Here is a 26,557-nt window from a genome sequence, read left to right as displayed (position 1 = left end):
CCAGCACTTTGGGAGGCCGAGGCAGGTGGATCACTTGAGGCCAGGAGTTCGAGACCAGCCTGGCCAACATGGCAAAACCCCGTCTCTACCAAAAATAAAAAATTAGCTGGGCATGGTGGCACACATCTGTAATCCCAGCTACTCGGGAGGCTGAGGCAGGAGAATCGCTTGAACTTGGGAGGTGGAGGTTGCTGTGAGCCGGGATCATCGTACCACTGCACTCCAGCCTGGGTAACAGAGCAAGACTCTGTCTCAAAAAAAAAAAAAAAAAAAAAAAAGTGGGGGTTGTCCCGGACGCCCTTCCTCTCACACCCTGAGTGGGTGCCCAATGCTGCCACCTGACTGGCCCCAGCATCCCGCCTGCCTGCGTGCCTGCTCCAGAAGGGTCTCTTCTCTGCAGGGCCAGTCTTTGAACGAGGTGGGTCAGGTCTCTCTCTGGTGGTTCTGTCTCTGTCTTGACACCTCACCATGGCCCTGGCTACCTCTCCAACTTCACCTCCTACCATGTTTCTCTAACCCGCCTCTCAATGCTCCTGCGGCAGGGCCTCTACACTCCCTGCTCCTGCTGCCTGGTATGCTCTGAACAGACACCTACTTGTCTCTTTCACACCCAAAAGTCCTCAGATTCCCACTAAGATCTCTTTTCGGAGAGGCCTTCACTTCCCATCATGCAATTCCCCTGTCACTGCCTCCTTACCCTCCTTAATTTTCTTCATAGAATGTGGGTATTTTCGTATTTGCTTTCATCTCTCCCCGGCACCCACAACATAAGCTCCCCAAGGACAAAGGCTGTGTTTCTCCCTGGCGTATTCCCAGCAGCAGGAACAGCACTTGGCACACAGTAGGTACTGACTGAGCACACAGCTGGGGAAGGAATGAAAGCCTAAGCACTGCTCCTACTTCACACCTGAAATGTCACTTCCTCAGAAGCCTCCCTCCCCACTCCCCACCATGGAAATCGTCTCTCCCTTAGCATTATCATCTGTTAAAGCACTTACTAAAATAGACAATTACACATGTGTTTGCATTGTAAAAGTTAACATCTGCCCAGCCTTCTGGACTAGGGTCAGCCACCCACAGCGTGAGAGCCGTCCCAAGCAGGTCTTTCGCTGGCAGTGACGAGACGGCTGCCAGTGCTCTGGGTTGCCAGCATATCCTCTTGGCCACTCCAGCAGCTATGAGACCCTCGGATGGAGTCTCGTGGACTGACTGAGCTCACCTGGGTCACACGGCCAGTGGTAAACAGGGCTCGGATTGGCTGGGTCTGGATCATGTGCCCGCCCAGGAGGAACTGGGTGGTTCACAAGGAATGCTGGGTGCTATTACCTGGGGAAGGGAAAAGAGATGTTGGGCCAACCTTGAAAAGTTTTTATCCAAGTACTCTTTCCATAATGGAAAAAGGAACTGGTGTATAAAAATTCACCAGTACAGCCAACTTTTTTTCTTTTTTTTTTTTTTGGAGACAGGGTCTCGCTGTGACACCCAGGCTGGGGTGCGGTGGTGTGATCACAGCTCATTGTAGCCTTGACCCCCTGGGGCTCAAGTGATCCTCTCACCTCAGGCTCCTAAGTAGCTGGGACTACAGGTGCATGCCACCATGCCTGGCTAGTTTTTGTATTTTTTTGTAGAGATGGAGACTTGCTATGTTGCCCAGGCTGGTCTTGAACTCCTGGCCTCAAGCAATCCTCCTGGCTCGGTTTCCTAAAGTGCTGGGATTACAGGCATGAGCCACCACACCCAGCCCTCATTGGTATTTTTTAATAGCACATTAAAAACACACAGCTAATAAGCAGAGAAAATCACAAGCCTCTTAAATTCTGTTTGTATGCCTTTCCTCCTTGCTGTGTAAAATGTGGTCACTGTTCTTTTATTTCAGTGCCATATGGACAGTTAAGAGCTGCAAATGAAGGTGATACGGAATTTAATTTCACAAAAGAAATGAGAGACAAAACAAGAAACAATCAGTAGTTTGCTAAATGCCCTGTTTATTCTGCAAACAAGGCTTAGAAATGTATAGACACAATTTGTAGGCTGAGAAATCTCTGTGTAGTTGTGACTTCCATACTTCCGCAAAAGTAGTAAGGACAGCGACTTCTGAACACATTAACCTACCACTGTTTTGTTTAGAGCGAACACAGTGAGAATGGATTCCTAACGGCCTGTTTCTCTAAGTGATCGTCGCAGTTCGCTGCTCTAGTCTTTAAGAACAAGTGGAGCCTTCACTTGAGCCGCCACCTCCTTGCCATTCAGGGCTTCAACAATTGCAAGCGCAAACTCGAAGCTGGTCCCAGGCCCCCGGCTTGTAAGAATCAGGCCGTCTTTTTCCACACGATTCTCAGAGTAGGTGTAATGACCTGCAAAGTAGAAACAGAAAAGGTGACATCCTAATGGGCTATGTGACGAGAAAGACGATTACTTACCAATTAAATTCACTATTACAGCATATAAACCCAACACTGTAGCTAACCATTCAAAAACATTTACTAGGCACTCCAAGCTCTTAGAAGCCCCCTACAAAGGTATTTTTAAAACTGTGCAGAGCAAAGGGTGACAGAAACCACTGTTAGAATGAAACAAATATGCGTGAGTTAAATGCAGCTGCTAAGACTTTAAGTGTTGGGGGAGATGTCGGTGAATGACAGTTACTCACATCACTATTTACAACAAAGCTCAAGTGTCAATTCTGAAGTGCCGGGGAAGGGTGAAGGGATGCGGCAGCGCTGAACGCAGAAGCCACCCCAATCAACATGTGGCGGCACGCACACCCTCTGATGCCTCAAAAACAACCACAGCACAACGTAATGGAGGCGGGTATGCATGTGAGTGTGCGTGTGCAGGTAGAAACCACATTCCCTCTCAAGGACTACTTTCCTTCCGCATCCCCGCACCTCCAGGCCCGCCGGTTGGCTATTTCTTGGCAAATATAATACCAAAACTGGGACTCTTAAGCATGGATGCCCTGAGCTCTGCCCCTCCACAGCAGGTAGTCACCAGCCTCTCCACTGCACACAGAGCCTAACCTCCCTCCCCACACCCATCCCTATCACTCTCCCACCTGGAGCTTCCCTTACTGTATACAACACGTTCTCTCCTGCTCCAGGAAGAGCTCAAGGGCTGCTCCCTCCACCCAGAGACCAGCTCTTTCCAGTTCCTTGCTCCTTCAGTTTCAGCATCAACAAAAACCCCTCAGAGAGGGTATCTGTGACCACCCCCACCTCCCCAAATTAGGTACCTCTATTGACTCTATCACCGCATTCTATTTACTGCCCTCGCAGCATTGATACAATCTATCACAATCTATGAACATTTCATTTCCTTGTTTATTGTTTACTCTTTAAAAAGGCTGGGTCTTCATCAGTCCCTGTCTGGCCAATGATATCCATGGCACACAGGAGGCACCCCTGAAGTGTGAGGTCAAAGGCACCAAACACCATTCTTGACTCGATCTCCTTTCTCGCCTGTCCCCTGCTTTAAAGGGGAAGGATCTCTGCATGATTACAGCTCTCCCTTCCGGCTGTGCGCCCCTTCGATCCATGCCCAGCACCCAAAAGCTAACTGTCCAGAGTGCAAAGCAGGGCATAGCCAGTTCCCCATGGAAAGCCCTTGCCAACTCTCTCCAGCACCTGAAGGTCACGCTGAACTCCATGTCACGGGGCCTGGAGCCCTCTGCGGTCTGGCCTTCGCACAGAGACTGGGCTGGGACCAGAAGGAGATGGAAAGGAACCTGCTCTCTGGGTAGAAGCTGGTGGTGCCTGCACTAGGCTGGTGACAGTGATCCAGAGGAAATGGAGGTTTGCAATGAAGGCCTAGGTGAGGAGGCTTCAAGGATGACTCCCAGCTGCCTGTCCCAGGTGACTGGATGATGGTGACACCACTCAGTGATGTGGGGCCACAGAACAGATTTAGCGGAGGGGGAAGTGACAAAGCTCCTCTGTGAACTCCTGCTCTATCCTGATGCACCGGCCACGCAGGCAGGCGGGTGGCTCTGGTCACCACCGCTCAGTGCGGACCTGAGAACACCCTGAGGGCACAGCTTTCTCTTCTTCCTTCTTCTGTTCCCAGTGCCAGGCACTAAGGAGGAGCTTAGGAAACGTCTGTTCAATGAACACGCAGAAAAATTCATCTGAAAACCTCCCTTCAAACAGAAGCAGAGTGCTTCTGCTATATTAATGAGCTTCTGAAACCACACAGTGTTCATTTCTTTTCCAAGGAGATTAACAATGGCTATAGGAACTTGTCTTACTGTCATTAGAAACCAAGCCACTGCTGGTCGAAGGCAGTGAGTTATCTCAATTGATCGTTCACAGGCAGTTACACCTTGTTCTACTCTTTCTCCTCTTCTCACTACTGTGCTTGACTAATCTAAAAAATTTAAAAAATCAGGTCACCCACCAAAATAAATGAATAGAGTACATAAACAATTTCCAATTTAACTATTGTAGAGAAAAAGAGGATCCCTAGTTTGAGGGGAAAAGGTTTATCATAATCTGGCCTCATTTACTGATGGTTAAACCAGGCCAAGACCATTTCAAATGCTAACCTAGAAACTGGCTGGGCTAGGTCTTCCAGAGCGACAGTGAGATGCACAGCTGAGAGTGGGACAACGCGAGGCACAACTGTAAATGGTTCACTGAACAGTATCTTTGTGGCTAAAACATCGCAAACAGGGCTTAAACTGGTTAAATATGCTTAAAGGTTCTACGGTTCTTGTCAGACTTTTAACCACGAGAAGCAAAAGGTTTAAGGTTACCAACTGCCTCCACCTAGTGGCGAAGACAGAACATGCACCCCATCAGCACCAGGAAGGCACTGTGCGAACTGGAGGCTGGGATTGTGACCCTATAGCGAATTCAGATTTTACACTTCCCGTTCAACCAGCAGAAGGCATTGATTTTTATTTCTTTATTTTTTTTAAACCAGACTCCAAGTCTTAAAGTCTCTTCAGAGAAAAAGCAATGGGAAGCCGGATGCAGTGGCTCATGCCGGTAATTCCAACACTCTGGGACGCCAAGGCAGGTGGATCACCTGAGGTCAGGATTTCAAGACCAGCCTGACCAACATGGTGAAACCCCGCCTCTACTAAAAAAAAAAAAAAAAATACAAAAATTAGCTGGGCCTGGCGGCCAGTACCTGTAATCCCAGCTATTCAGGAGGCTGAGACAGGAGAATCACTTGAACCCGGGAGGCGGAGGTTGCAGTGAGCCGAGATGCGTCACTGCACTTCAGCCTGGGTGAGAGAGCAAGACTCCGTCTCAAAAAAAAAAAAAAAAAAAAAAAAAAAAGGCGGGGGGGCTGGGCATAGTGGCTCACGCCTGTAATCCCAGCACATGGGGAAGCCGAGGAGGGCAGATCACAAGGTCAGGAGATCGAGACCATCCTGGCTAACACGATGAAACCCCGTCTCTACTAAAAATACAAAAAATAAGCCAGGCGTGGTGGCGGGCACCTGTAGTCCCAGCTACTTGGGAGGCTGAGGCAGGAGAATGGCGTGAACCTGGGAGGCGGAGCTTGCCGTGAGCACAGATCGTGCCACTGTACTCCAGCCTGGATGACAGAGAGAGACTCTGTCTCAAAAAAAAAAAAAAAACAAAAGACACAGGACACAGGTCAGCAACGACAAGCCTGAGGGCCGAGGCCAGGTTGCTGCCTGTTTTTGCAAATGCAGCTTCACTGGCACAAAGCCACCCTGCGTGTTTAGTACTGTCTGTAGCTATTGTGGAGGTGCAACAGTTGAGTAGCTGCCAGAGATCTGAAGTCCCAGAAAGCCTGCAATATTTACCACCTGGCCTTTGGGGAGCAGTCAGTTGACCCCTGAGCAGAGTTCTGGGTTCAAATCCCAGGTCTGCCATTTAGTGGCTGTCTGACCTCTCAGAGCTTCACTTTCTGGTAAAATGAGAATGACACCAACCTAGCAAACAAACAGTACTCAGCAGTGGTGGCATGCAGTGGCGTTACAGAAGCTAGGTGAGGGAAGTCTTTTCACCAACAATCCTGAAGCAGGTTTATCCTCAGGCAACGGATGAGGAAACAGGCTCAGAGACACTAAGGAAACTTCCCACAGTGAGTGGGGAAGCTGAGGGCCACCCCACGATGCCAGGCTCCAGAGACCCTGCTCTTCAGTGCTCGGGTATGGGACCAGGCATGCGGATGCCATCAAACAGTGGACAAATGAGAAACGGAATCACACATTACAGTTATAACTGACTTATTCTAAAATCGGAGGAATTAAAAGATTATGGGGACTGGAGCTGGTAGCACACACCTGTAATTCCAGCACTTTGGGAGACCAAGGTGGGAGGGTCATTTGAGCCCAGGAGTTTAAGTACTGCTTGGGCAACATAGTGAGACCCTGAATCTATCAAAAAAAAGATAAGAAAAAAAGAAAAAAGACTATGGTCTTCAGATGGGATTGCTTATCTGAGAAGAAACTGTCACACTGATCTTTCAAGTTCACAGTGAGGACAAGGGCCTCACCCAGAGCAGACCCCCAGGTGATGACTGCAGCCCTACCTCTCGAAGTGTCCTGAAGGAGTAGACATTTCAAGTATCCATTTCTTATAATAGAGGTTACTGACTAAATCCAACACCTGGTAACTTAAATGTGTGGGAGCCTTTTGCTACCACAGAGCAGGGGAGGGGCAGGAAGCCAAAACTGGATGCAAGGCAGAGGGCTGGGCTTGAGCTCTGGCCTCAGTCTCTCCTTGTTTGTGAAGCCAGGATGATGCCACCTGCCTTGCTGGGCACTGGGGACCAGGAAGCTCCACCAAGATAACGTACGGGAACGTGCTTTGTAAACTCCAAGTGTGAGCATCAACAATCTGATCTTTTTCTATGCCTGACCAACCTCAATGTTTTTGAGGCACTAAAGGAAAACAGATGCAACAGGCACACCTTCAGGTAGTGCAGGAGCGCGCTCCGCTTGTCTTCCCTCTGAAGACATCACAAAGGGAGCCCAGTTCTGTTCTTTCCATTTCTTTCAACGCTCTAAAATCCCTCCATGAGCTTAAAGTAAATTAAATTCCTACATTTAAAATGCCCAGAAACCAGAGACTTTTATTAAAAAGTACCAATTTTTTTTTTTTTTTTTGAGATGGAGTCTCACTCTGTTGCCCAGGCTGGAGTGCAGTGGCACGATCTCAGCTCACTGCAAGCTCCACCTCTTGGGTTCACGCCACTCTCCTGCCTCAGCCTCCTGAGTAGCTGGGACTACAGGTGCCCGCCACCACGCCCAGCTAATTTTTTTAGTACATTTAGTAGAGACGGGGTTTCACCGTGTTAGCCAGGATGGTCTCGATCTCCTGACCTCGTGATCTACCTCCCCCACCGGCCTCCCCAAGTGCTGGGATTACAGGCGTGAGTCACTGCATCCAGCAAAAAGTACCAATTTTCAAACAGATCGTTTTAATGATAACATAGTATCTTTCTAGCAACTAAAATAAAACCATGAGCGGGGCACAGTGGCTCACATCTGTAATCCTAGTACTTTGGGAGGCCAAGCCAGAAGGATCGCTTGAGGCCAGGAGTTCAAGACCAGACTGTGCAATATGGTTAGACCCTGTCTCTACAAAAAAATTTAAAAATTAGCCAAGTGTGGTGGCTCATACCCATAGTTCCAGCTACTCGGGAGGCTGAGGTGAGAGGATTGCCTGATCCCAAGAGGTGGAGGTTACAATGAACTGAGATCACACCACTGCACTCCTGCCTGGGTGACAGAGCAAGCCTCTGTCTCAAATACATTAAATAAATAAACAAACCATGGATTTTCAGGAAAACACTGCTCTGGATCAAATGTAACTGTATGTAGAATGTACAACAGCAAGAGAGAACCCTCATGTAAACTGTGGACTCTGGATGATGATGTGTCAATGTGGGTACAGATTCTGGTGCAGGATGTTGATAGTAGGGGAGGCTATGCATGGCCAGGGGCGGGGGCCTGGGGAGTGGCGAGTGGGTCAAGGTAGACGGGAATTTGGCTGTGAACCTAAAACTGCTCTAAAAAACTAAAGTTTAGTAATTAAAAAACATGCAGTATAATGAAAAGTGCATCACTTTTAAAGTGGAGCTCAGATATGCTCACAGCGGCATTCAAGGATGATCATTATGGCATGGTTTACAAGGGCAAAAGCAGAAAACCACCTTCATGCCCACCCCCAGGAGAAGGTTACATACAGCATGGCACATTCCAACACTGGACTAGCAGCTGTACTTAACAAGGATGAAGCAAATCTAAATCTACATGTGCTGTTAAAAGATAACATAAGATATTAACATTAAGTTAAAAAAAGCAAGCTGCAGAACAATACATTTAGTAGATCTCATTTTAGTTAAAATAAAAAGGATAATGAGTATGTGATAGATAAAATTCTACAGGTACACAAGAAACTTTTTTTTTTTTTTTTTTTTGATAGGGTCTTGCTTTGTCCTCCAGGCTGGAGTTCAGTGGCGAGATCACAGCTCACCATAGCTTTGACCTCCCAGGCTTAAAGCGATCATCCCACCTCAGCCTCCTGAGCAGCTGCAACTACCAGTGTGCATCACCATGCCTGGCTAATGTTTTTTGTATTTTTAGTAGAGATGGAGTTTAACCATGTTGCCCAGGCTGGTCTCGAACTCGGGGCTCAAGCGATCCACCCGCCTCAGCCTCCCAAAGTACTGGGATTACAGGCGGAAGCCACTGTGCCCAGTCTACAAGAAACTTGTGGTGGCACATGCCTGTAATCCCAGCTACTCGGGAGGCTGAGACAGGAGAGTCCCTTGAACCCGGGAGGCGGAGGTTGCAGTGAGCTGAGATCACACCACTGCATTCCAGCCTGGGCAACAGAGCGAGAGACTCCATCTCAAAAAAAAAAAAAAAACCACACACAGGCATATGGGCCAGGCGCGGTGGCTAACACCTGTAATCCCAGCACTCTGGGAGGCTGAGGCAGGCAGATCACAAGGTCAAGAGTTCGAGACTGGGCGCGGTGGCTCATGCCTGTAATCCCAGCACTTTCAGAGGCTGAGGCGGGTGGATCACAAGGTCAGAAGTTCAAGACCAGCATGACCAACATGGAGAAACCCCATCTCTACTAAAAAATACAAAAATTAGCCAGGCGTGGTGGAGCACACCTGTGATCCCAGCTACTCAGGAGGCTGAGGCAGAAGAATCACTTGAACCCGGGAGGCGGAAGTTGCAGTGAGCAGAGAACGCACCATGGCACTCCAGCCTGGGCAACAGAGCGAGACTCTGTCTCAAAAAAAAAAAAAAAAAAAAAAAAAAAAAGAGTTTGAGACCAGCCTGACCAACATGGTGAAACTCCATCTCTACTAAAAATACAAAAATTAGCTGGGTGTGATGGCATGCGCCTGTAATCCCAGCTACTCAGGAGGCTGAGAGAGAAGAATCGCTTGAACCCGGGAGGCAGGGATTGCAGTAAGCCAAGATCACGCCACTGCACTCCAGCCTGGGCGATGGAGCGAGACTCCATCTCAAAAAACAAACAAACAAACAAAAACAAGCATATACTTACCTCCATTCATCATTTTGTCTTTAGCAAGAGGGTGTGTTGTAACTTTACTTCCAAAACCTATTTCATGAGCCAACAGAGCAGTAGGACCTAAGAATAAAAATAAAAAGATCTAAGTGCAGATATAGAAAAGCCCATGTTTAAAAAATCGCAATAGTGCCTGGCACAGTGGCTCATGCCTGTAATCCCAGCAATTGGGGAGGCCTAGGTAGAAAAATTGCTTGAGCCCAGGAATTCAACATCAGCCTGGGCAACACAGACCCCTTCTCTAACAACAACAAAAACTGCAACAGCAAAGTATTCTTCAAAATCAAGAGGCTCTTACCAAACATACAGCTACGATTCTGAAATGAAACACTTCCTAGTATGAGAGATAAAGTATGTTTATAACAAACGATTTGCTGAGCACATCTGGCAAAAGCACAGAAACTCAAAATACTTCAATAACCATTTACTCAAGAAGATTTACCTTGATACCAGCAGAGCATACACAGATAAACAAAATGTGCTCACCTCTCTCACCTTCCCCATCCCCAGAACAGGGACCACATATACCAGGAGTCCAAAGGAGGGGGAGGATCACTGGGGCGGGCTCAACTTCTTACCTCACTCTTAGTAAAAGGAAAGATTTAGTTACATGCTAAAGGCAACTGGTACTCTCTGAACTTCTGGATTTTATTGCTCTTTTGTAATCTTATTTTCTACTTGAAAATGGGAAATTAGGCCGGGCACGGTGGCTCATGCCTGTATTCCCAGCACTTTGGGAGGCCAAGGCGGCTGGATCATGAGGTCAGGAGATCAAGACCATCCTGGCTAACACGCTGGAACCCTGTCTCTACTAAAAATACAAAAAATTAGCTGTGCGTGGTGGCGGGCGCCTGTAGTCCCAGCTACTCGGGAGGCTGAGGCAGGAGAATGGGGTGAACCCGGGAGGCAGAGCTTTCAGTGAGCCAAGATCGTGCCACTGCACTCCAGCCTGGGCGACAGAGCGAGACTCTGTCTCAAAATAAATAAAAAATAAATAAATAAAATGGGAAATTAACACTCGTTCATCCACCTATCCACCCAAGTATGCCAGGTGGTAGGATTAAAATGGACAGCACACTGTCCTTGAAGGAGATAGCCTGTGAAGTGCCTGGAAGTGTGAGATATAAAGGCACTAGCATCACGTGATGAAAGCTACTTAAGCAAAGAACCACATGGAAGTGTCAGTTGATGAAGTCTTTCCAAATTGGCAGGTCCTAACTTGAGATTTTTATTTAAATGTATTCACTGAAAACGGCCAACTTCAGGGAGGGTCACAAGCATATTGCGTATGTAATGGTCCTAAATAAGGATTAAAAACAAAGATTTTATATACCTTTCATTGTTATTTCATCTTAAAGCTTTTTACAAAGTATTCATTCTACCTTTTTCCTCTAAGCCACACATATAAACATTCTTTCTAAGGCCTCACATGACACTTAGAAGGATACGTTTCAGAACAGCACCTTGATCTTGGAAACACTTAAGGTGCCCTGGATGGCTAAGATCCTGTGGCACAGTTTGTACACTTTTAGTGTCAGCAAACCTGAGAGGTCTTGGTCTTACTGTCCTTTCATTTTTCAACAAGACTCCAAGGAAGGAATTATATAATATACCCACAAGCTACTCAGACCGTAGCTGTTACAAACAGGAAGATCACACAAATACTACCTAATTACATAAGCTTTCTGCCTAATATCAGCTGTCAGTTTCAGACCAAGTCCTGATTTATAGCTCTTAAATCAAAAGCCTCAAATGTCTCTTCTCCACGTTATTTTTACACACAAGACAGCTATGTATGGTAGCAAATTTTAGAAGTCCGTAAGAATTGAATAATTATCAATTTTTATTTGAATGGATTTATAAATTGTTTTTAATTTTTATTTGGTAAGAATTTAAGAAGAAATTCCTACATCATCTTGCATTTTAAAGTAAACTTTAATAGATGATAGCACAGTGAGGAAAGTGATCGGTGAACGAGAATTTTTAGGCTGCTCCCTTCAAGGTGGTAATAAAATCACTGCTACGATGTGAATAAATTTATGTTACAGTTGGATTCAGGAATTTACTGATGTCTTTCATACTTATCAGGTAAGCTCATAATCACTGCTTTCTGGGGCGTCAGAACCCTATTTGGAATACTGGAGAAGAGACGTTTCACTCTCCCAGGACCTGGGATTCTGATGGATGAAAACGCTCTGTACTCTGCACTACAGTGCAGAGGGCGCAGCTGACCATGTCCCCTTCTGCAGCCAACAGCACCACCCTGTGGTAACATGCAAAATGACCACCTCTGCCAACTCCCCAGCTCCTCCAGGTGGCCAAGACCTTGCTTCCAGAGGCCTCATTCCTAGACCTGGGCATCTCAGCTGACAACTGTCCACTCCTCCAACTCCACACTTCCTCCCCCTCCCCTACTCAAAGTAAATATCATTTAATTTTCTTCTCAACATAGACTCCCTTCCAATTTGCGTTCCTCATTCACTCAATATTAAGGACTAGGCTAATATTCTTTGTGTTCAAAATGTTTCCAATCCCTAACTGCAACACTTCAGAATAATCTTGGCTGGGTGCGGTGGCTCACGCCTGTAATCCTAGCACTTTGGGAGGCCAAGGTGGGCGGATCACGAGATCAGGAGTTCGAGACCAGCCTGGCTAACATGGTGAAACCCCGTCTCTACCAAAAATACAAAAATTAGCTGGGCATGGTGGCAGGTGCCTGTAATTCTAGCTACTCGGGAGCCTGAGGCAGGAGAATCGCTTGAACCTGGGAGGTGGAGGTTGCAGTGAGCCGAAATTGCACCACTGCACTCCAGCTTGGGCAACAAGAGCAAAGCTCCCATTTCAACAAAAAAAAAAAAAAAAAAGAATCTTATTTTTCTGTTTGCCAATTTAAAAGATCCAAATCTCTTCCATCACTCCTCTGTTCCATTCCCATAACCCTCATCTCAATTAGCTCAGCTCATCATCACATTTTTTCCTATTTCTGGTGTAGTGCCCACAACAGTGGTGCAGGATATTCAATGGTATAAACACACTGCTAGTGTGTTTTCTATTTTTACTGTTTTTTATATAATTTTTTTTTTTTTGAGATGGAGTCTCACTCTGTCGCCCAGGCTGGAGAGCAGTGGCGCAATCTCGGCTCACTGCAAGCTCTGCCCCCCAGGTTCACACCATTCTCCTGCCTCAGCCTCCCGAGTAGCTGGGACTACAGGCACCCGCCACCACGCCTGGCTAATTTTTTGTATTTTTAGGAGAGACAGGGTTTCACCGTGTTAGCCAGGATGGTCTCGATCTCCTGACCTTGTGATCCGCACGCCTCGGCCTCCCAAAGTGCTGGGATTACAGGTGTGAGCCACCGCCCTTGGCCTATTTTTACTTTTTTTTTTTAAGAGACCAAGTCTTGCTCTGTCCTTTAGGCTCAAGTGCAGTGGTGTGATCACCACATCTCAATGTAACCTCAAATTCCTGGGCTCAAAGTGATCCTCCCACCTCAGCCTCCTGAGTAGCTGGGACTACAAGTGTGCACCACCACACCAGGCTGATTTTTTAAAATATTTTTTTGTAGAGGTCGGTGGGGGGGTCTCACTATGTTGCCCAGGCTGGTCTTGAACTCCTGGGTTCAAGTGATCCTCCCACCTCAGTCTCCCAAAGTGCTAGGATTACAGCTATGAGCCACCACAGCCAGCCTGTTTATTTTTTAATGTTGATTTAAAGTACTATAAGGCCCATGCTTCTTAGCATGGCATTCCATCTAGCCTCAGCACAAAACAGTAAGCCAAATGTGGTTGATTTTTTTTTTTTTTTTTTGAAACGAAGTCTTGCTCTGTCGCTCAGGCTGGAGTGCAGTGGCACGATCTCGGCTCACTGCAATCTCCGCCTCCCGGGTTCAAGCGATTCTCCTGCCTCAGCCTCCCAAGTAGCTAGGACGACAGGCATGCGCCACCATGCCCTGCTAATTTTTGTTATTTTTATTTTTATTATTTTATTTTATTTATTTTTTGAGACGGAGTTTCACTCTTGTTGCCCAGGCTGGAGTGCAATGGCGCAATCTTGGCTCACTGCAACCTCCACTTCCCAGGTTCAAGCGATTCTCCTGCCTCAGCCTCCCAAGCAGCTGGGATTACAGGCACGCGCCACCACGCCTGGCTAATTTCTGTATTTTTAGTAGAGATGGGGTTTCACCATGGTGGCCAGGCTGGTTTCGAACTCCTGACCTTAAGTGATTTTGCTACTTTTGTGGCACAGGACAAACTGACATGTGGTTTTTACTTTCAGCAGAATCATAAGGAAACAAACTCAGCCCAAACTCTTTCTTCCTTTGGTCAAAGAATCTAGGACTGAGGCTTGCTTCACAGCAGCAGAGCCAAAGAAAACCAAACTCAAGGATCTGTGACTTTCTCTCCAAAGAGGGGAGCAGCTGCTTGGGCTGCAGTGACTGCAGTGCCCTTTGGCAGAGATAATTACCTGAGCCTCAGGGCAGGTCAAAAGGCTAGTGGTGACTCTTGTAGTAAGCCCACGTACAAGACCTGCCAGGGTGGTCAACCTCTGTGGTTCTTCCCAGCCCCTAATGCCACGGTTCTCAAACATTTAGGTCTTAGAATCCCTTTAGCTTTTATGTGGGTTATATCTATGAACATCTGCCATATTAAAAATTATTACTTTTTTTTGAGACAGTCTTGCTGTGTCACCCAGGCTGGAGTGCAGTGGCGTAATCGCGGCTCACTGCAACCTCCGCCGCCCGGGTTCAATAGATTCTCCTGCCTCAGCCTCCTGATAGCTGGGATTACAGGAATGCATCACCATACCCAGCTAACTGCCCAGCTAACTTTTGTATTTTTAGTAGAGACGGGGTTTCACCATGTTAGCCAGGCTGGTTTCGAACTCCTGACCTCAAGTGATCCTCCCACCTCAGCCTCCCGAGTAGCTGGGATTACAGGCGTGCACCACCATGCCCAGCTAACTTTTGTATTTTTAGTAGAAACGGGATTTCACCACGTTTGCCAGGCTGGTTTTGAACTCCTGACCTCAAACGATCTGCCCACCTCAGCTTCCCAAAGTGCTGAGATTACAGGCATGCGCCACTGTGCCACGCCAATTACTTTTAATGGCAAAAACCACAATTACTTTTACATCAACCTAATAAAACTGGGAAATTTTTAAAACACAATAATAAATTCTCAGATGATGGTATCATCCTACTCTGATGTCACTCCTGAAAGACTGAGAAGAAAAAAGGCGAATAACATTTTGTTTGAAAGACATGGTGTCACTCTGCTGCCCAGGCTGGAGTGCAATCATAGCTCACTGCAGCCTCTAACTCTTGCCTTCAAGCGATCCTCCCATCTCAGCCTCCTGAGTAGCTGGGACTACATGCATGCAGTACTGTGCTTGGCTAATTTTTTGTTTGTTTGTTTGTTGAGATGGGGGTCTGGCTATGTTGCCAAGGTTAGTCTCAAACTCCTGGCTTTCAAGAGATCCTTCTGCCTTGGCCTCCCAAAATGCTGAGATTACAGGCATGAGCCACCACACCTGGCCCCTCAGTAGCATCTGCTTTGACCTTGCAAGTGCACCAAAAGAACATTGAGAACCACTGATACTCGAATGTATCAAGTCCCCAGGACCTCTGGCCCATAACTTCTTTTGAAAAGCCTACTGTATTGAACAAAATAGCAACAGCAACATGTTTTGATGTTGATGTTTACCAAACCATCCACTCATTCATTCGTTTATTCATTCACTCTTCTGACAAATATTTATTTTATTTTATTTTATTTTTTTTTTGAGACGAAGTCTCGCTCGTGTCCCCCAGGCTGGAGTGCAACGGCACAATCTCGGCTCACTGCAACCTCCGCCTCCCGGGTTCAAGCGATTCTCCTGCCTCAGCCTCCCGAGTAGCTGGGATTACAGGCGCCCGCCACCACGCCTGGCTAATTTCTGTATTTTTAGTAGAGATGGGGTTTCACCATGGTGGCCAGGCTGGTCTTGAACTCCTGACCTCAGGTGATCTGCCCGCCTCAGCCTCCCAAAGTGCTGGGATTACAGGCGTGAGCCACTGCGCCCGGCCCTGACAAATATTTAATGAAGACCTATACAACAAGGAAGGTGCTGGCAAAAATTACAGCATGGGAAAAAACCAAAATGGCAGAACATCATCTGATAGGAAAGCAACAAGAATGGATCTTAAAATGGTTATGAGAAAATAAAATATTACTAAGGTACAAAGAGAAGAGGACATCTGCGAAGCACCAAATGTCCTTGTTCTAAATTATGTGGCAGATAATGCGGTGCCCAAGATCACTCGGTACTGAGACAATCAGAAACGCCCGAGAAGCCAGCGGAAAGCACCATGGGGGCTTCTGAATTTGCAGGGCAAGCACAGGACAGAGCTGCTGTGTTGATGTTTGATGGATTTTGCTGATTGTGTGCTGGCACAAAGACTTTCTGGCACAGAGACTTGCTGTAACAAGCTGTTTACTGAATTCCAGAGGGCCTTATTTTCCTCCGAGGTCAACCAAACACGGAAAACACTAAGTTTCACAGCATGTAGACCAAAGGCATGGAGAGGCAGAAAACAGAACAATTGTCCTCATCTCTGAAATGACACCAACTTCATGCCACCCAAACTAAATACACCAACACAGATGCCCTGCATGCTTTATGAAGGGGAAGAGCTATTTGGAATCAAACCATCGAATGAAAGGCTACCCCACCCACCAATGACGCTGCAACACAGGCTGCCCCTGCACGTCACCTGCACAGATGGCGGCTATCAGGCCCTTCCGGTTTTCCTGCTCCTTCAGTATCTCCTTCACAGCAGCAGACTAGTGAAAAGAAAACCAAAAATACATAAAGTTATCATTAAGCCACTAACCAATCACTCACTAGGAAACTTTGGAAGAATTTAATTTTAGTTTAAACCACAAGCTCTCTGACCTATTTTCCAACAATATTTCTAAATCATTGGTATAAAAATGATCAAAATGTGTCTATATTATATTCTTAAACCCAAGCAAGGCATTTCTCATAAGAGAAACGCACTCTTCCACATTTAAAGATCAGAAGAAGCAATTTGACCCTTGCCATTTTGTACTCCAGGGAGAAAGAAATGGGAGGGAATGTGGTGTTTTGGGTGTTTTCAGATGGCAGAGAGAGGAACAGAATCTAGCAGGAAAAGATCCCTTGTGTCTGACACAACCCACTTCTTACTTCTGGCAGCCCCAACTCTGCCTGCAGGTGTGCCCCTCACCCTGGCCTCTGACTCCTCACATACGACTTAAAATGAGGAACAATGGTCTCTGCTGATGGCATTTGCCATTCCTGCTGGCAGCCCTAGCCCCACAGCTTCCCCCAGTTAAGACTTTGAGTAGACAATTTGCCCTTCTCAAAACACAAAATCTGATCATTCTTCTGCTGGTGGAAAAAAACCAAATCATCTTACTTTGGACTGTATTCATCGACATCTGTTCATAACGGTCCCACCAATTCAGCTTACTTCCATGGCAACATTTTTTTTTTCTGATAAGACAGGTTCTTGCTTTGTTGCCCAGGCTAGAATGCAGTGGTGCATTCACAGCTCACTGCAGCCTCAAATCCCTGGCCTCAAGTCATCCTCCCACCATAGCCTCCCGAGTAGCTGGGACTACAAGTGTGCACCACCGTGCCCAGCTAATTAAAAGAAAATTTTTTGTAGAGATGGCGTCTCGATGTGTTACTTAGGCTGGTCTCAAACTCCTGGCCTCAAGCAATCCTCCTGTCTCAGCCTCCCAAACCACTGGGATTATAGACGTTGAGCCACTGCACCTGACCTCCATAGAAAATATTAAAAATGTTTTCTTGAGGTCGGGAGTGGTGGCTCACGCCTATAATTCCAGCACTTTGGGAGGCCGAGGTGGGCGGATCACGAGGTCAGGAGTTTGAGACCAGACTGGCCAACATGGTGAAACCCCGTCTCTAATAAAAATATAAAAATTAGCAGGGCATGGGGGTGCATGCCTGCAATCCCAGCTACTCAGAGGCTGAGGCAGGAGAACTGCTTGAACCCAGGAGGCGGAGATTGCAGTGAGCCGAGATTGTGCCACTGCACTCCAGCCTGGGCCACAGAGCAAGACTCTGTCTCAAAAAAAAAAAAAAGTTTGAGTTAATGCTATAACACCATTTTGTTAATTTTAGTTGTTTCTATTTTTTTTTCACAGCCTCCTCCCGAAATATTTGAATAATAACAAAATTAACAGAACATAAGCAGATGCTGAAATTCTTTAGTTTTTCCCCCCCCCCAGCTTTATTGAGGTATAATTGAGTAGAATTTTTTACCTCAGATAAATTCTGTGCGCCCAGATTACCTCCTGGTAGAACCACCACATCATATGGTCCCTGTAACAGTTTAAAACATAAAGAAAACAAAAACATTTCATTTCAACTGTGCATTAAATTGACAGTCCAATAATACTTTCCTATTTTAAATGTGGGAAGTACAGGAGATAGCCTATCTGCCAATAGAACAGTTAAATAAATTAAGGTGTATCCACATGACGGAATGGTGTTTTAACTAGCAAAAAATGCAGAAAACCTGTATGTAGTGACATGCAAGGATGTCCACGCTGCAGAGTAGCAGGGGTAGTATAATCTCCTTCCTGTAAAAGACAAGGATATATGTATTTGTGTGTAGATGTATGCGTGTATGTGTACAATCACCACAAGCACCCCACCCCACATATTCTGTATACAGGTAGTCACAGACAAAGGAAGACACTCTAGTTGCTAATGGGAGTAGTGTGGGATGGGGCAGAGGGAGAATGAGAACAGGACATTTAACATTTTGACTTTATATGTGTCTATATTGTTTGAATTATTGTTCAACAAGAATGTACATGAACAACTTAAAAAATTAATAGAAAAACAGGCTGGGCACACTGGCTCATGTCTGTAATCCCAGCACTTTGGGAGGCCAAGGCAGGAAGATTACCTGAGCTCAGGAGTTCGAGACCAGCCTGGCCAACATGGCAAAACCCCCATTTCTACTAAAAATATGAAAATTAGCTGGGTGTGGTGGTGCACACCTGTGGTCCCATCTACTTGGGGGGTTGAGGCAGGAGAATCGCTTGAACCTAGGAGGCAGAGGCTGCAGTGAGCTGAGGCTGCACCACCGCACTCTAGCCTGGGCAACAGAGCAAGACTCTGTCTAAAAAAACAAATAAAATTAATAGAGAAACAAATTTTAAGTAAAAGGCACAAAAAATTTTTCTTAACTTTATGAAAAATGTAACGGGGGGAGAATTTTAGTATCCCCCCCAAAAAATCCTAGAAATCAAATTAATTTCAAACTTCCTGAAATTACAAAACGGAAATTGTTTTAACAATACTTTAGGACTTTTTATTTATTTATTTATTTTTCTTTTCTTTTTTTTTTTTTTTTGAGACAGAGTCTTGCTCTGTCACCCAGGTTAGAGTGCAGTGATCTCAGCTCACTGCAACTTCCGTCTCCCGGATTCAAGCGATTCTCCTGCCTCAGCCTCCCAAGCAACTGGGATTACAGGTACCCACCACTGTGCCCGGCTAATCTGTGTATTTTTAGTAAAGATGGGGTTTCACCCTCTTGACCAGGCTGGTCTCAAACTCCTGACCTCGTGATACACCCATCTCGGCCTCCCAAAGTGCTGGGATTACAGGCGTGAACCACTGTGGCCGGCCAACAATACTTTAGTACTTTAAAAAGTGGTTAAAAAAAATCTAGTCATTAAACAAATTACAAAATAAAAATGTATTATGTATTTAGTGCAACCTATAAAATTTTTTTAGAGAGAAGCCCTCACCTCTGTCACCCAGGCTAGAGTGCAGTGATGCAATCGTGGCTCACTACAGCCTTGAACTCCTGGGCTCAAGCAACTCTCCCACTTCAGCCTCTGCAGGAGCTAGGACTACAGGCATGCACCACCACAGCCAGCTAATTTTTTTTATTTTTGTAGAGACAGGGTCTCGCTTCATTGCCCAGGCTAGTCTCAAAACTCCTGGGCTCAGGTAATCCTCCTGCCTCAGCCTCACAAAGTGCTAGGATTTCAGGTGTGAACCACTATGGCTGGCTTAGAATCACTTTTAAGACCATAAACATCCTACCGTTGATTCAAAACCAAGCAAAGCTCAAAACTCAAAAGAAAATGTGTAAAGTATAGAATTTATTTTACTCCTTTTAGAATCTGCACTGAAAAATAAAAACACACAAAAGGTAACCACTTCCTTAAAAAACTACAGTAAATGGAACTACCATATGGTCCAGCAATCCCACTACTTGGCATGTATCCAATGGAAAGGAAATCAGTATACTGAAGAGACACCTGCACTCCCTTGTTTACTACACCAACAGTCACACTAGCCAACATACGAAATCAACCTAGGTCCAACAACAGATGAATGCATAAAGAAAATGTGGCATTTATACACAATGGGATACTATCCAGCCATAAAAAAGAATGAAATCTTGTCATTTGTGGCTACAAGAATGGAACTAGAGAACATTATATTAAGTGAAAGAAGCCAGGAATAGCAAATTAAACACTCCATGTTCTCACTCATATGTGAAAGCTAAAAAAAAATTGATCACATAGAAGCATAATGTAGGACAGAGGATACTAGAGGCTGGGGAGGATAGGAGAAAGTGGGGATAGGGAGAGATTTGTTAAAAGATACAAAATTATAGCTAGATAGGAGGAATAGGTTCTGGTGTTCTATACCCCCGTAGAATGACTATAGTTAACAATCATATATAGTTTCAAATAGCAAGGAGGATATTGAACGTTCCCAACACAAAGAAATGTTTGAGATGATGGATATGCTAATTACTCTGATCCGATCACTATATATTATGCATGGAAACATCACAAATCCCATGAATATGTACACTTATTATCTGTCGATTGAAAATAAAGGTAACCACTGTTTTAAAATGCCCAGACATCATATGACAAAAACACAAACAGAGATGAAAAAAAGTATTATTATTATTTTTGAGACAGGGTCTCGCTCTGTCACCCAGGCTGAAGGGCAATGGCACAATCACAGTTCACTGCTGTCTCAAATTCCTGGGCTCAAGCAACCGTCTAGGCTCAAGTGATCCTCTTGCCTCAGCCTCTTAAGTAGCTAGAACTACAGGCATGCACCACCACACCTGGCTTTTACAAATTTTTAATTTAAAGAGAAACGGTCTCGCTATGTTGCCCAGGCTGGTCTCAAACTCCTGGTCCCAAGTGATCCTCCCACTTTGGCCTCCAAAAGTGCTGGGATTACAGGTGAGCCACTGCACTTGGCCTGGAATACTTACTTCTGCTTGTCATTTTTAATTTGTTTCAACAAATCACATGTAAATACCAACAGTCTAATTTTCTACAATCCAGTAATGAAAAATCTAAACTTATTAGAAAGGATTAAACTTTTTCCTATGTATCTGAGGACAGCTCGGCCCAGGGAACCGCACTCCAGGTTCCTCAGCAGTGTGCAACCAGCCATCTGTGAGCCGACTCTGCCTCCTTTCCTGCCATGACCCTGCTGTCAGAGGGTACAGTCCACACTCCTGTCACGCTGACCGCACGACGGAGTGTGCAAAAGCGCCTGTGGGGGAGCATGTTTCTGAGGAAAGGGATGCTAGCTTCCAAAAGTGTCCATCGTCCTTAAAGGTAAGAGCCATAATTCCAACGATACTGAAAAAACAACACAACTACAGTGGAACTCTGAAAGTATCTTTAGAAAAAATAATGGCCGGGCATGGCACATGCCTGTAGTCCGAGCTACGTGGGGGGTTGAGGTGGGAGGATTGCTTGAACCTGGGAGGTTGAGGCTGCAGTGAGCTGTGACTGCACCACTGGACTCCAGCCTAGGGGAGAGAGTGGGACCATTCCTCTAAACAAAAATAATAATAATAAAAAATGGAAAATGTGGCAGTTGATTTATGTCAGGTAAAAATGTGTAATAGGAGGCAAGGATGCCTGTGTAAGCCAGAAAAATACTGATGGGAAAACAATGCAGCCATCCATCTAAGCACCAACCCACCCATCTGGCCACACATCCAACCGGCCACCTACCCATCCAGCCACCCACTTACTAAGCACATTCTGTATCAAGCAATTGCCACATTCTACAGATACAGAATAGAAAGACAAAGTCCTCACCCTCTTAATCTGTCAGGGGAAGACATTCAAGCAAAATAATTTTCTAAAATGAGTCTGTGCTAACAACACTCTTAAGACATTTCAAGAAACAAAGAAGCCATATGAAGGAATAACTCCATGTATGGATTACAAACCTCTTTTTTTGCATCTTCAAGGCTGGCATCAGGACAAATGACCACATCACGGCTACACTGTACTGGGTCTTTTCCAGCCAGGCCTGCAACGGTGACCTTAATCTACGAGAAAGATGTTATCATATTTAAGAACACTGAAACATAAATTCAGAGTAACACTGTCTTTAAAAAAAAAGAAAAAAGAGAGATGGGGTCTCACCCTGTCACCTGGGCTAGAGGGCAGTGACACAATCATAGCTTACTGCAGCCTCCAGCTCCTGGGCTCAAATGATCCTCCTGCTTCAGCCTCCCAAGTAGCTGGGATTACAGACATGAGCCACCACACCCAGCTAGAGTAACGTTTACACAGCTGCCCTGTGTTTGAAAGTAACATGACAGGAAATACTGCACCACAACTATACCAAATTTAAGCTAATACACTGGCTAAATATATTTAATAACTAGGTCTACCCTGGTTTGCCCGGGACAGACCCTACTTATAGCTGCTGCCCTGTACTCTGTGGGACTGGAACACCCTTTCTCCCACAAATGTTCTGGTTTGGGTGACCAGTTATATGATCATCCTATTAATAACTCATCTTGCAAGTTTACTGTTGCCATTTAAACCTCATGGTATTTTTGTAAAATAGAAATGCAAGTCCAAACAACGAAATACTGCTTTATCTTTCAAAAATTTTTAAAGTCAACAATACCAAGAGCTGGCACTGGGAAAGTGGGAATTTTCCTACACTGCTGGTGGGACTACAAACTGGGACACTGGAGAGCAACTTGGCAAAACCTAGTCATGCTGACTACAGGCTATCCTTCGGCCTAGTCATTCTACTTTTAGATATATAACCTGGAAAAATTTCCTCACATTTGCACAAAGAAACCTACACAAGAATACGTATTACAGAATTGTAATGCTGTAATTAGAGGAATGGGTAGATTGTGGCATTCAGTGCAACACCAAGCAGCAATTTTAAGTGGATAAACTTAATCGACATGTATCTTCATTTCTGAGAACCAGAGGAGTATAGGGTTAACAGACTCTGGGGCCAGGCTGCCTGGGTCTGAGTTCTGGCTTTTGTACTTACTACGTGATGTGGGTACATTATTTATGTCTCTGTGCCTCAGTTTCTTCAACTGTAAAATGAGGATGGTGATATCTAACTCACGACATTGTTGTAAGGTTTATCGGCACTTAGAATGCTGCCTGGCACAGAGTTAGTTCTACTTCACTTCACTGTTCACTATTTTTAGATAGAGAGAGATAATATATAAACACGCAAAATGAGAACCACGGTCAAATGCTACCTTAAAGACATGCGTGGGGGCGGGTGCAGTAGCTCACATCTGTAATCACAGCACTTTGGGAGGCCGAGGTGGGTGGATCACGAGGTCAAGAGTTCAAGACCAGCCTGGCCAAGATGGTGAAACCCCATCTACTAAAAATACAAAAAATTAGCCAGGCATGGTGGTGCGCACCTGTAATCCCAGCTACTTGGGAGGCTGAGGCAGAGAACTGCTTGAACCCAGGAGGCAGAAGTTGCAGTGAGCTGAGGTCACACCACTGCACTCCAGCCTGGGTGACAGAGCAAGACTCTGTCTTAAAAAAAAAAAAAAAGACACACATGCATGGATACACAAGAGTGCGAGGATAGCACTTATCTTTAAGGAAGGAAGAAGGGGCATAGGATTGGAGAAATTTACAAAGGGGGCTTCAAATGTATTTCTTTGAAGCATCTGCTCTTTAAGAAACGAGTCTGAGGGGCCGGGCATGGTGGCTCCTGCCTGTAATCCCAGCACTGTAAAAGGCTAAGGCGGGCGGGTCACTTGAAGCCAGGAGTTCGAGACCAACCTGGCCAACATGGTGAAACCCCATCTGTACTAAAAATACAATTAGCCGGGCGTGGTGGCGGACACCTGTAATCCCAGCTGAGGGTGAGGCAGGAGAATCTCTTGAACCCGGGAGGCAGAGGTTGCAGCGAGCAGAGATCACACCACTGCGTTCCAGGCTGAGCGACACAGAGAGACACCATCTCAAAAAAAAAAAAAAAGAAGAAAAAAGAAATGGGTCTAAGGACAGTGCAGTGGCTCACGCCTGTAGTCCTAACACTTTGGGAGGCCTGAGGCGGGTGGACAACTTGAGCTCAGGAGTTGGAGAGCAGCCTGGGCAACATGGCAAAACCCTGTCTCTACAAAACATACAAAAATTAGCCAGGTGTGGTGGCACGCATCTGTAGTCTCAGCTATTTGGGAGGCTGAGGTGGGAAGATGGTTTGGGCCCAGGAGGCAGAGACCGAAATGAGCCAAGATCCTGCCATCGCACTCCAGCCTGGACGACAGAGCTCAAAACAAAAGAGAAATGGGTCTGAAGGAAATATGGCAAGACATTAACAAGCGTTAAATGTGAGCAGTGGATCAACAGGTATTTATTCTTATGTCATCTCTGAAATTTTGTGTATATTTGAAATATTTCATAGAGCACTTTGAATATTTTATTCAAAATGATTTAAAAATCCAAAAACATTTAAAACAGGAATGGCTAAAAATCGATGTGGGACTTACCCCAGCTCGCCTCATGACATCTACAGGGATGACCGTCTCCATTTCCTCTGCTCCTTTAGCCAGGATGACCAGAGCTCTTTTGGAAGCCATTTTTATGTTATATGTTTACAAGCCTTAAAAAAAAAAAAAAAAAAAGATTTCAAAAAACTTTCATTGCAACCCTGAGATACCCCAAAATTTAAAGTTTAGGAGCATTTTCAAGCAGAGTAAGTACTTCCTAGGGAAACGGTTTTCATAGACAACTGAATACGAAAAAAGCAGCAGTTTAGTTATCTTAACGTTGATTTGTATAGCAGTTTTAATTGCTCTGAGATGAAAACATAATGAGGGTGCTAAAAGGTGTAGTATTGCTTAGATTTTCTTCTACCATGTTCTCTTAAATCCAACTTTAATAGTATGTTGCAAATGGGTTTTTTAAAAATACAAGTACGTGGGTCTCCTGCATTTCACACAATGCGGGGAAACAGTCTTTTTTGAAGCACTGTTTCAGAGAAACGACTAAACTGAATTTCATGGGCAAAAATTTAAATGTGGTCTTTCGCAATTAACTTGTAATTTTTTGGAGGGGATTTTTGTTTTCTTAGTTATAACTGTACTAAAAAATTGTGTGTGGGGGTCAACAGTGTTAAATGTCTGAACACTTTTTTTAATGACTGAGAAAGATGGAAATCCCCTCACTGAAGTCAACCCAACTACATCTGTCTCTCTGCGCGGAGTTCTCACTGCCAACGACAGCAGCTCAACGAGGTTCCGAATTTTTTTTAGCCTATTTACAGATTATCTGGAGGGTTTACCGTCCACGCAAAACAGAGTTTAATAAAACGGCTAGCCAGTTCCATGCCGGCGAGAGGTTAGGCAGAAGATTCTGGACGCTTCAGCGTTGCCACCACGCTGGCGGTCAGTCAAATCCAACGCCAGCGACAGGGCCCGACTGGGAGGCCGGAAGCGAGGGCGGCCCCGACCCAGGCCCCGCGCCGGTTCTGAGCCAGCGGGACACCGTCCAGCACAGGGACACCGTCCAGCACCCCCACGCCGCCCAGCGCCACGGCCCACACATGCGCCGCGCCCCCGCTGGCGCTGACCTGCACCCCGCGCCTCTTCCTGCGGACGCGGCGCCCCGGCCCGTTGGGTACCACTCACCCCACACCAGGCTGAAAATGAACGCACGCCAGCACGCACGCGCGCCGTCCGGCCTCCCTCAGCCCCACACTGCGCAGACTCACGCCGCCTTGGCCTCACGCTGCGTCACGTCCGGCCGAGTCTACCTCGGACTGAGGCGGGGGTGGCACCGGGGAGTTTCTAGCTGGACAGCCCTGGGTGAGGCGGCTCGGTCCCACATGGTACCCCCCACGAATGGCACAGTCCGGCCTGCCCCGGCGCCCGCGGGGCTTAACAGTCTCTACCGCCACCCTCCGTGAGGAGCCGGTCTCTGGAACTGCCGAGGGACTGGGGTTGTCAGAGGGGTTCCTTAGTTCGCGCTCCGTGCACGCCTGCTCCCTTTGCGTTGTTCCTTTTCTGGCGCGCCTTCCCGTTTCGCCTCTGGTCTGTTAGGACTCTGGTCCAGGCCTCCCGGACCTCTCCCCCACGCCTGGTCTCCCGATCTCGGGCGACTCTGCCGCATTTATTCACACCCGGATGTCTCAGGGGTGTGAGTTTTTTTCTCAGCATTGTTTGTTTTCTTTAACGATCCTGATGCTGCTGCACCCACAGGACTAGAGCAGTGCTGCGCACATAAGTCTAATAAGTACCAAGTTGGTCAGATGTATTTACATCATAATCTCAAGTTGTATTTATTGATATGTAAGAGACGTATGTGTTTTCTGGGTACATGTGGTATTTTGATACTTTCATATAATGTGTAATGATTAAATCAGGGTAAATGAGATCTCTATCACCTTAAACATTTGTCTTTATACTGGGAACATTCCAGTTACTCTCTTCAATAATAACATTTTAAAATATACAACAGATTACTGTTAACTATAGTCACCCTACAGAACTCTGCCAACGCTAGGTCTTATTCCCTCTTAAGGAGAGCACAGATCACCTGGTGACCATCAAGCAGGCCCCTTATCTGAGGAATTTAGAAGTAATTAGATATCCCTATTATCTAAAGTTGGCACCTGGTACCAGGTTAAATCAAAGGAAATAGTTAAAGCCCAAAATTCTTGAATGAGCTTAGAAG

General features: G+C 45.9%; 1 protein-coding gene across 3 annotated transcripts, besides 8 other annotated features; it reads right to left on the bottom strand.

Annotated features, from left to right (window-relative positions):
• PARK7 (Parkinsonism associated deglycase) lies at positions 1,743-25,537 on the bottom strand. Of its 3 annotated transcripts, none has more exons than XM_005263424.4 (7): positions 25,167-25,537; positions 24,373-24,485; positions 21,823-21,924; positions 17,844-17,903; positions 16,285-16,354; positions 9,510-9,596; positions 1,743-2,354 (listed from the first exon to the last, which is right to left on the bottom strand). In XM_005263424.4, the coding sequence occupies exons 2-7, from the start codon at positions 24,460-24,462 to the stop codon at positions 2,194-2,196; spliced, it is 570 nt and encodes a 189-aa protein (XP_005263481.1). In that variant the 5' UTR covers positions 24,463-24,485; positions 25,167-25,537; the 3' UTR covers positions 1,743-2,193. The 3 variants fall into 3 exon arrangements, with proteins under 3 accessions (XP_005263481.1, NP_009193.2, NP_001116849.1); NM_007262.5 differs by having other exon boundaries at positions 25,455-25,537; NM_001123377.2 differs by having other exon boundaries at positions 25,513-25,537.
• Positions 24,902-25,685: an enhancer, noted in NCBI's record as "H3K27ac hESC enhancer chr1:8021623-8022406 (GRCh37/hg19 assembly coordinates)". NCBI's record gives its function as "activates a minimal SCP1, AML or CMV promoter by ChIP-STARR-seq in primed H9 embryonic stem cells {active_cell/tissue: H9 hESC(primed)}" and the evidence as "EXISTENCE:reporter gene assay evidence [ECO:0000049][PMID:30033119]".
• Positions 24,902-26,469: a biological region, named in NCBI's record as "H3K27ac hESC enhancers GRCh37_chr1:8020839-8021622 and GRCh37_chr1:8021623-8022406".
• Positions 25,097-25,156: an enhancer, noted in NCBI's record as "active region_97". NCBI's record gives its function as "activates an Ori minimal core promoter by ATAC-STARR-seq in GM12878 lymphoblastoid cells {active_cell/tissue: GM12878}" and the evidence as "EXISTENCE:reporter gene assay evidence [ECO:0000049][PMID:35858748]".
• Positions 25,207-25,256: an enhancer, noted in NCBI's record as "active region_96". NCBI's record gives its function as "activates an Ori minimal core promoter by ATAC-STARR-seq in GM12878 lymphoblastoid cells {active_cell/tissue: GM12878}" and the evidence as "EXISTENCE:reporter gene assay evidence [ECO:0000049][PMID:35858748]".
• Positions 25,457-25,506: an enhancer, noted in NCBI's record as "active region_95". NCBI's record gives its function as "activates an Ori minimal core promoter by ATAC-STARR-seq in GM12878 lymphoblastoid cells {active_cell/tissue: GM12878}" and the evidence as "EXISTENCE:reporter gene assay evidence [ECO:0000049][PMID:35858748]".
• Positions 25,637-25,736: a silencer, noted in NCBI's record as "silent region_189". NCBI's record gives its function as "represses an Ori minimal core promoter by ATAC-STARR-seq in GM12878 lymphoblastoid cells {active_cell/tissue: GM12878}" and the evidence as "EXISTENCE:reporter gene assay evidence [ECO:0000049][PMID:35858748]".
• Positions 25,686-26,469: an enhancer, noted in NCBI's record as "H3K27ac hESC enhancer chr1:8020839-8021622 (GRCh37/hg19 assembly coordinates)". NCBI's record gives its function as "activates a minimal SCP1, AML or CMV promoter by ChIP-STARR-seq in primed H9 embryonic stem cells {active_cell/tissue: H9 hESC(primed)}" and the evidence as "EXISTENCE:reporter gene assay evidence [ECO:0000049][PMID:30033119]".
• Positions 25,887-25,986: an enhancer, noted in NCBI's record as "active region_94". NCBI's record gives its function as "activates an Ori minimal core promoter by ATAC-STARR-seq in GM12878 lymphoblastoid cells {active_cell/tissue: GM12878}" and the evidence as "EXISTENCE:reporter gene assay evidence [ECO:0000049][PMID:35858748]".

The sequence above is a fragment of the Homo sapiens genome, chromosome 1 (assembly GCF_000001405.40).
Source record: "Homo sapiens chromosome 1, GRCh38.p14 Primary Assembly".
NCBI lineage: Eukaryota > Metazoa > Chordata > Mammalia > Primates > Hominidae > Homo > Homo sapiens.
The sequence above is the reverse complement of the archived record's forward strand: the minus strand, read 5'-3'. Positions and strand labels throughout refer to the sequence as shown.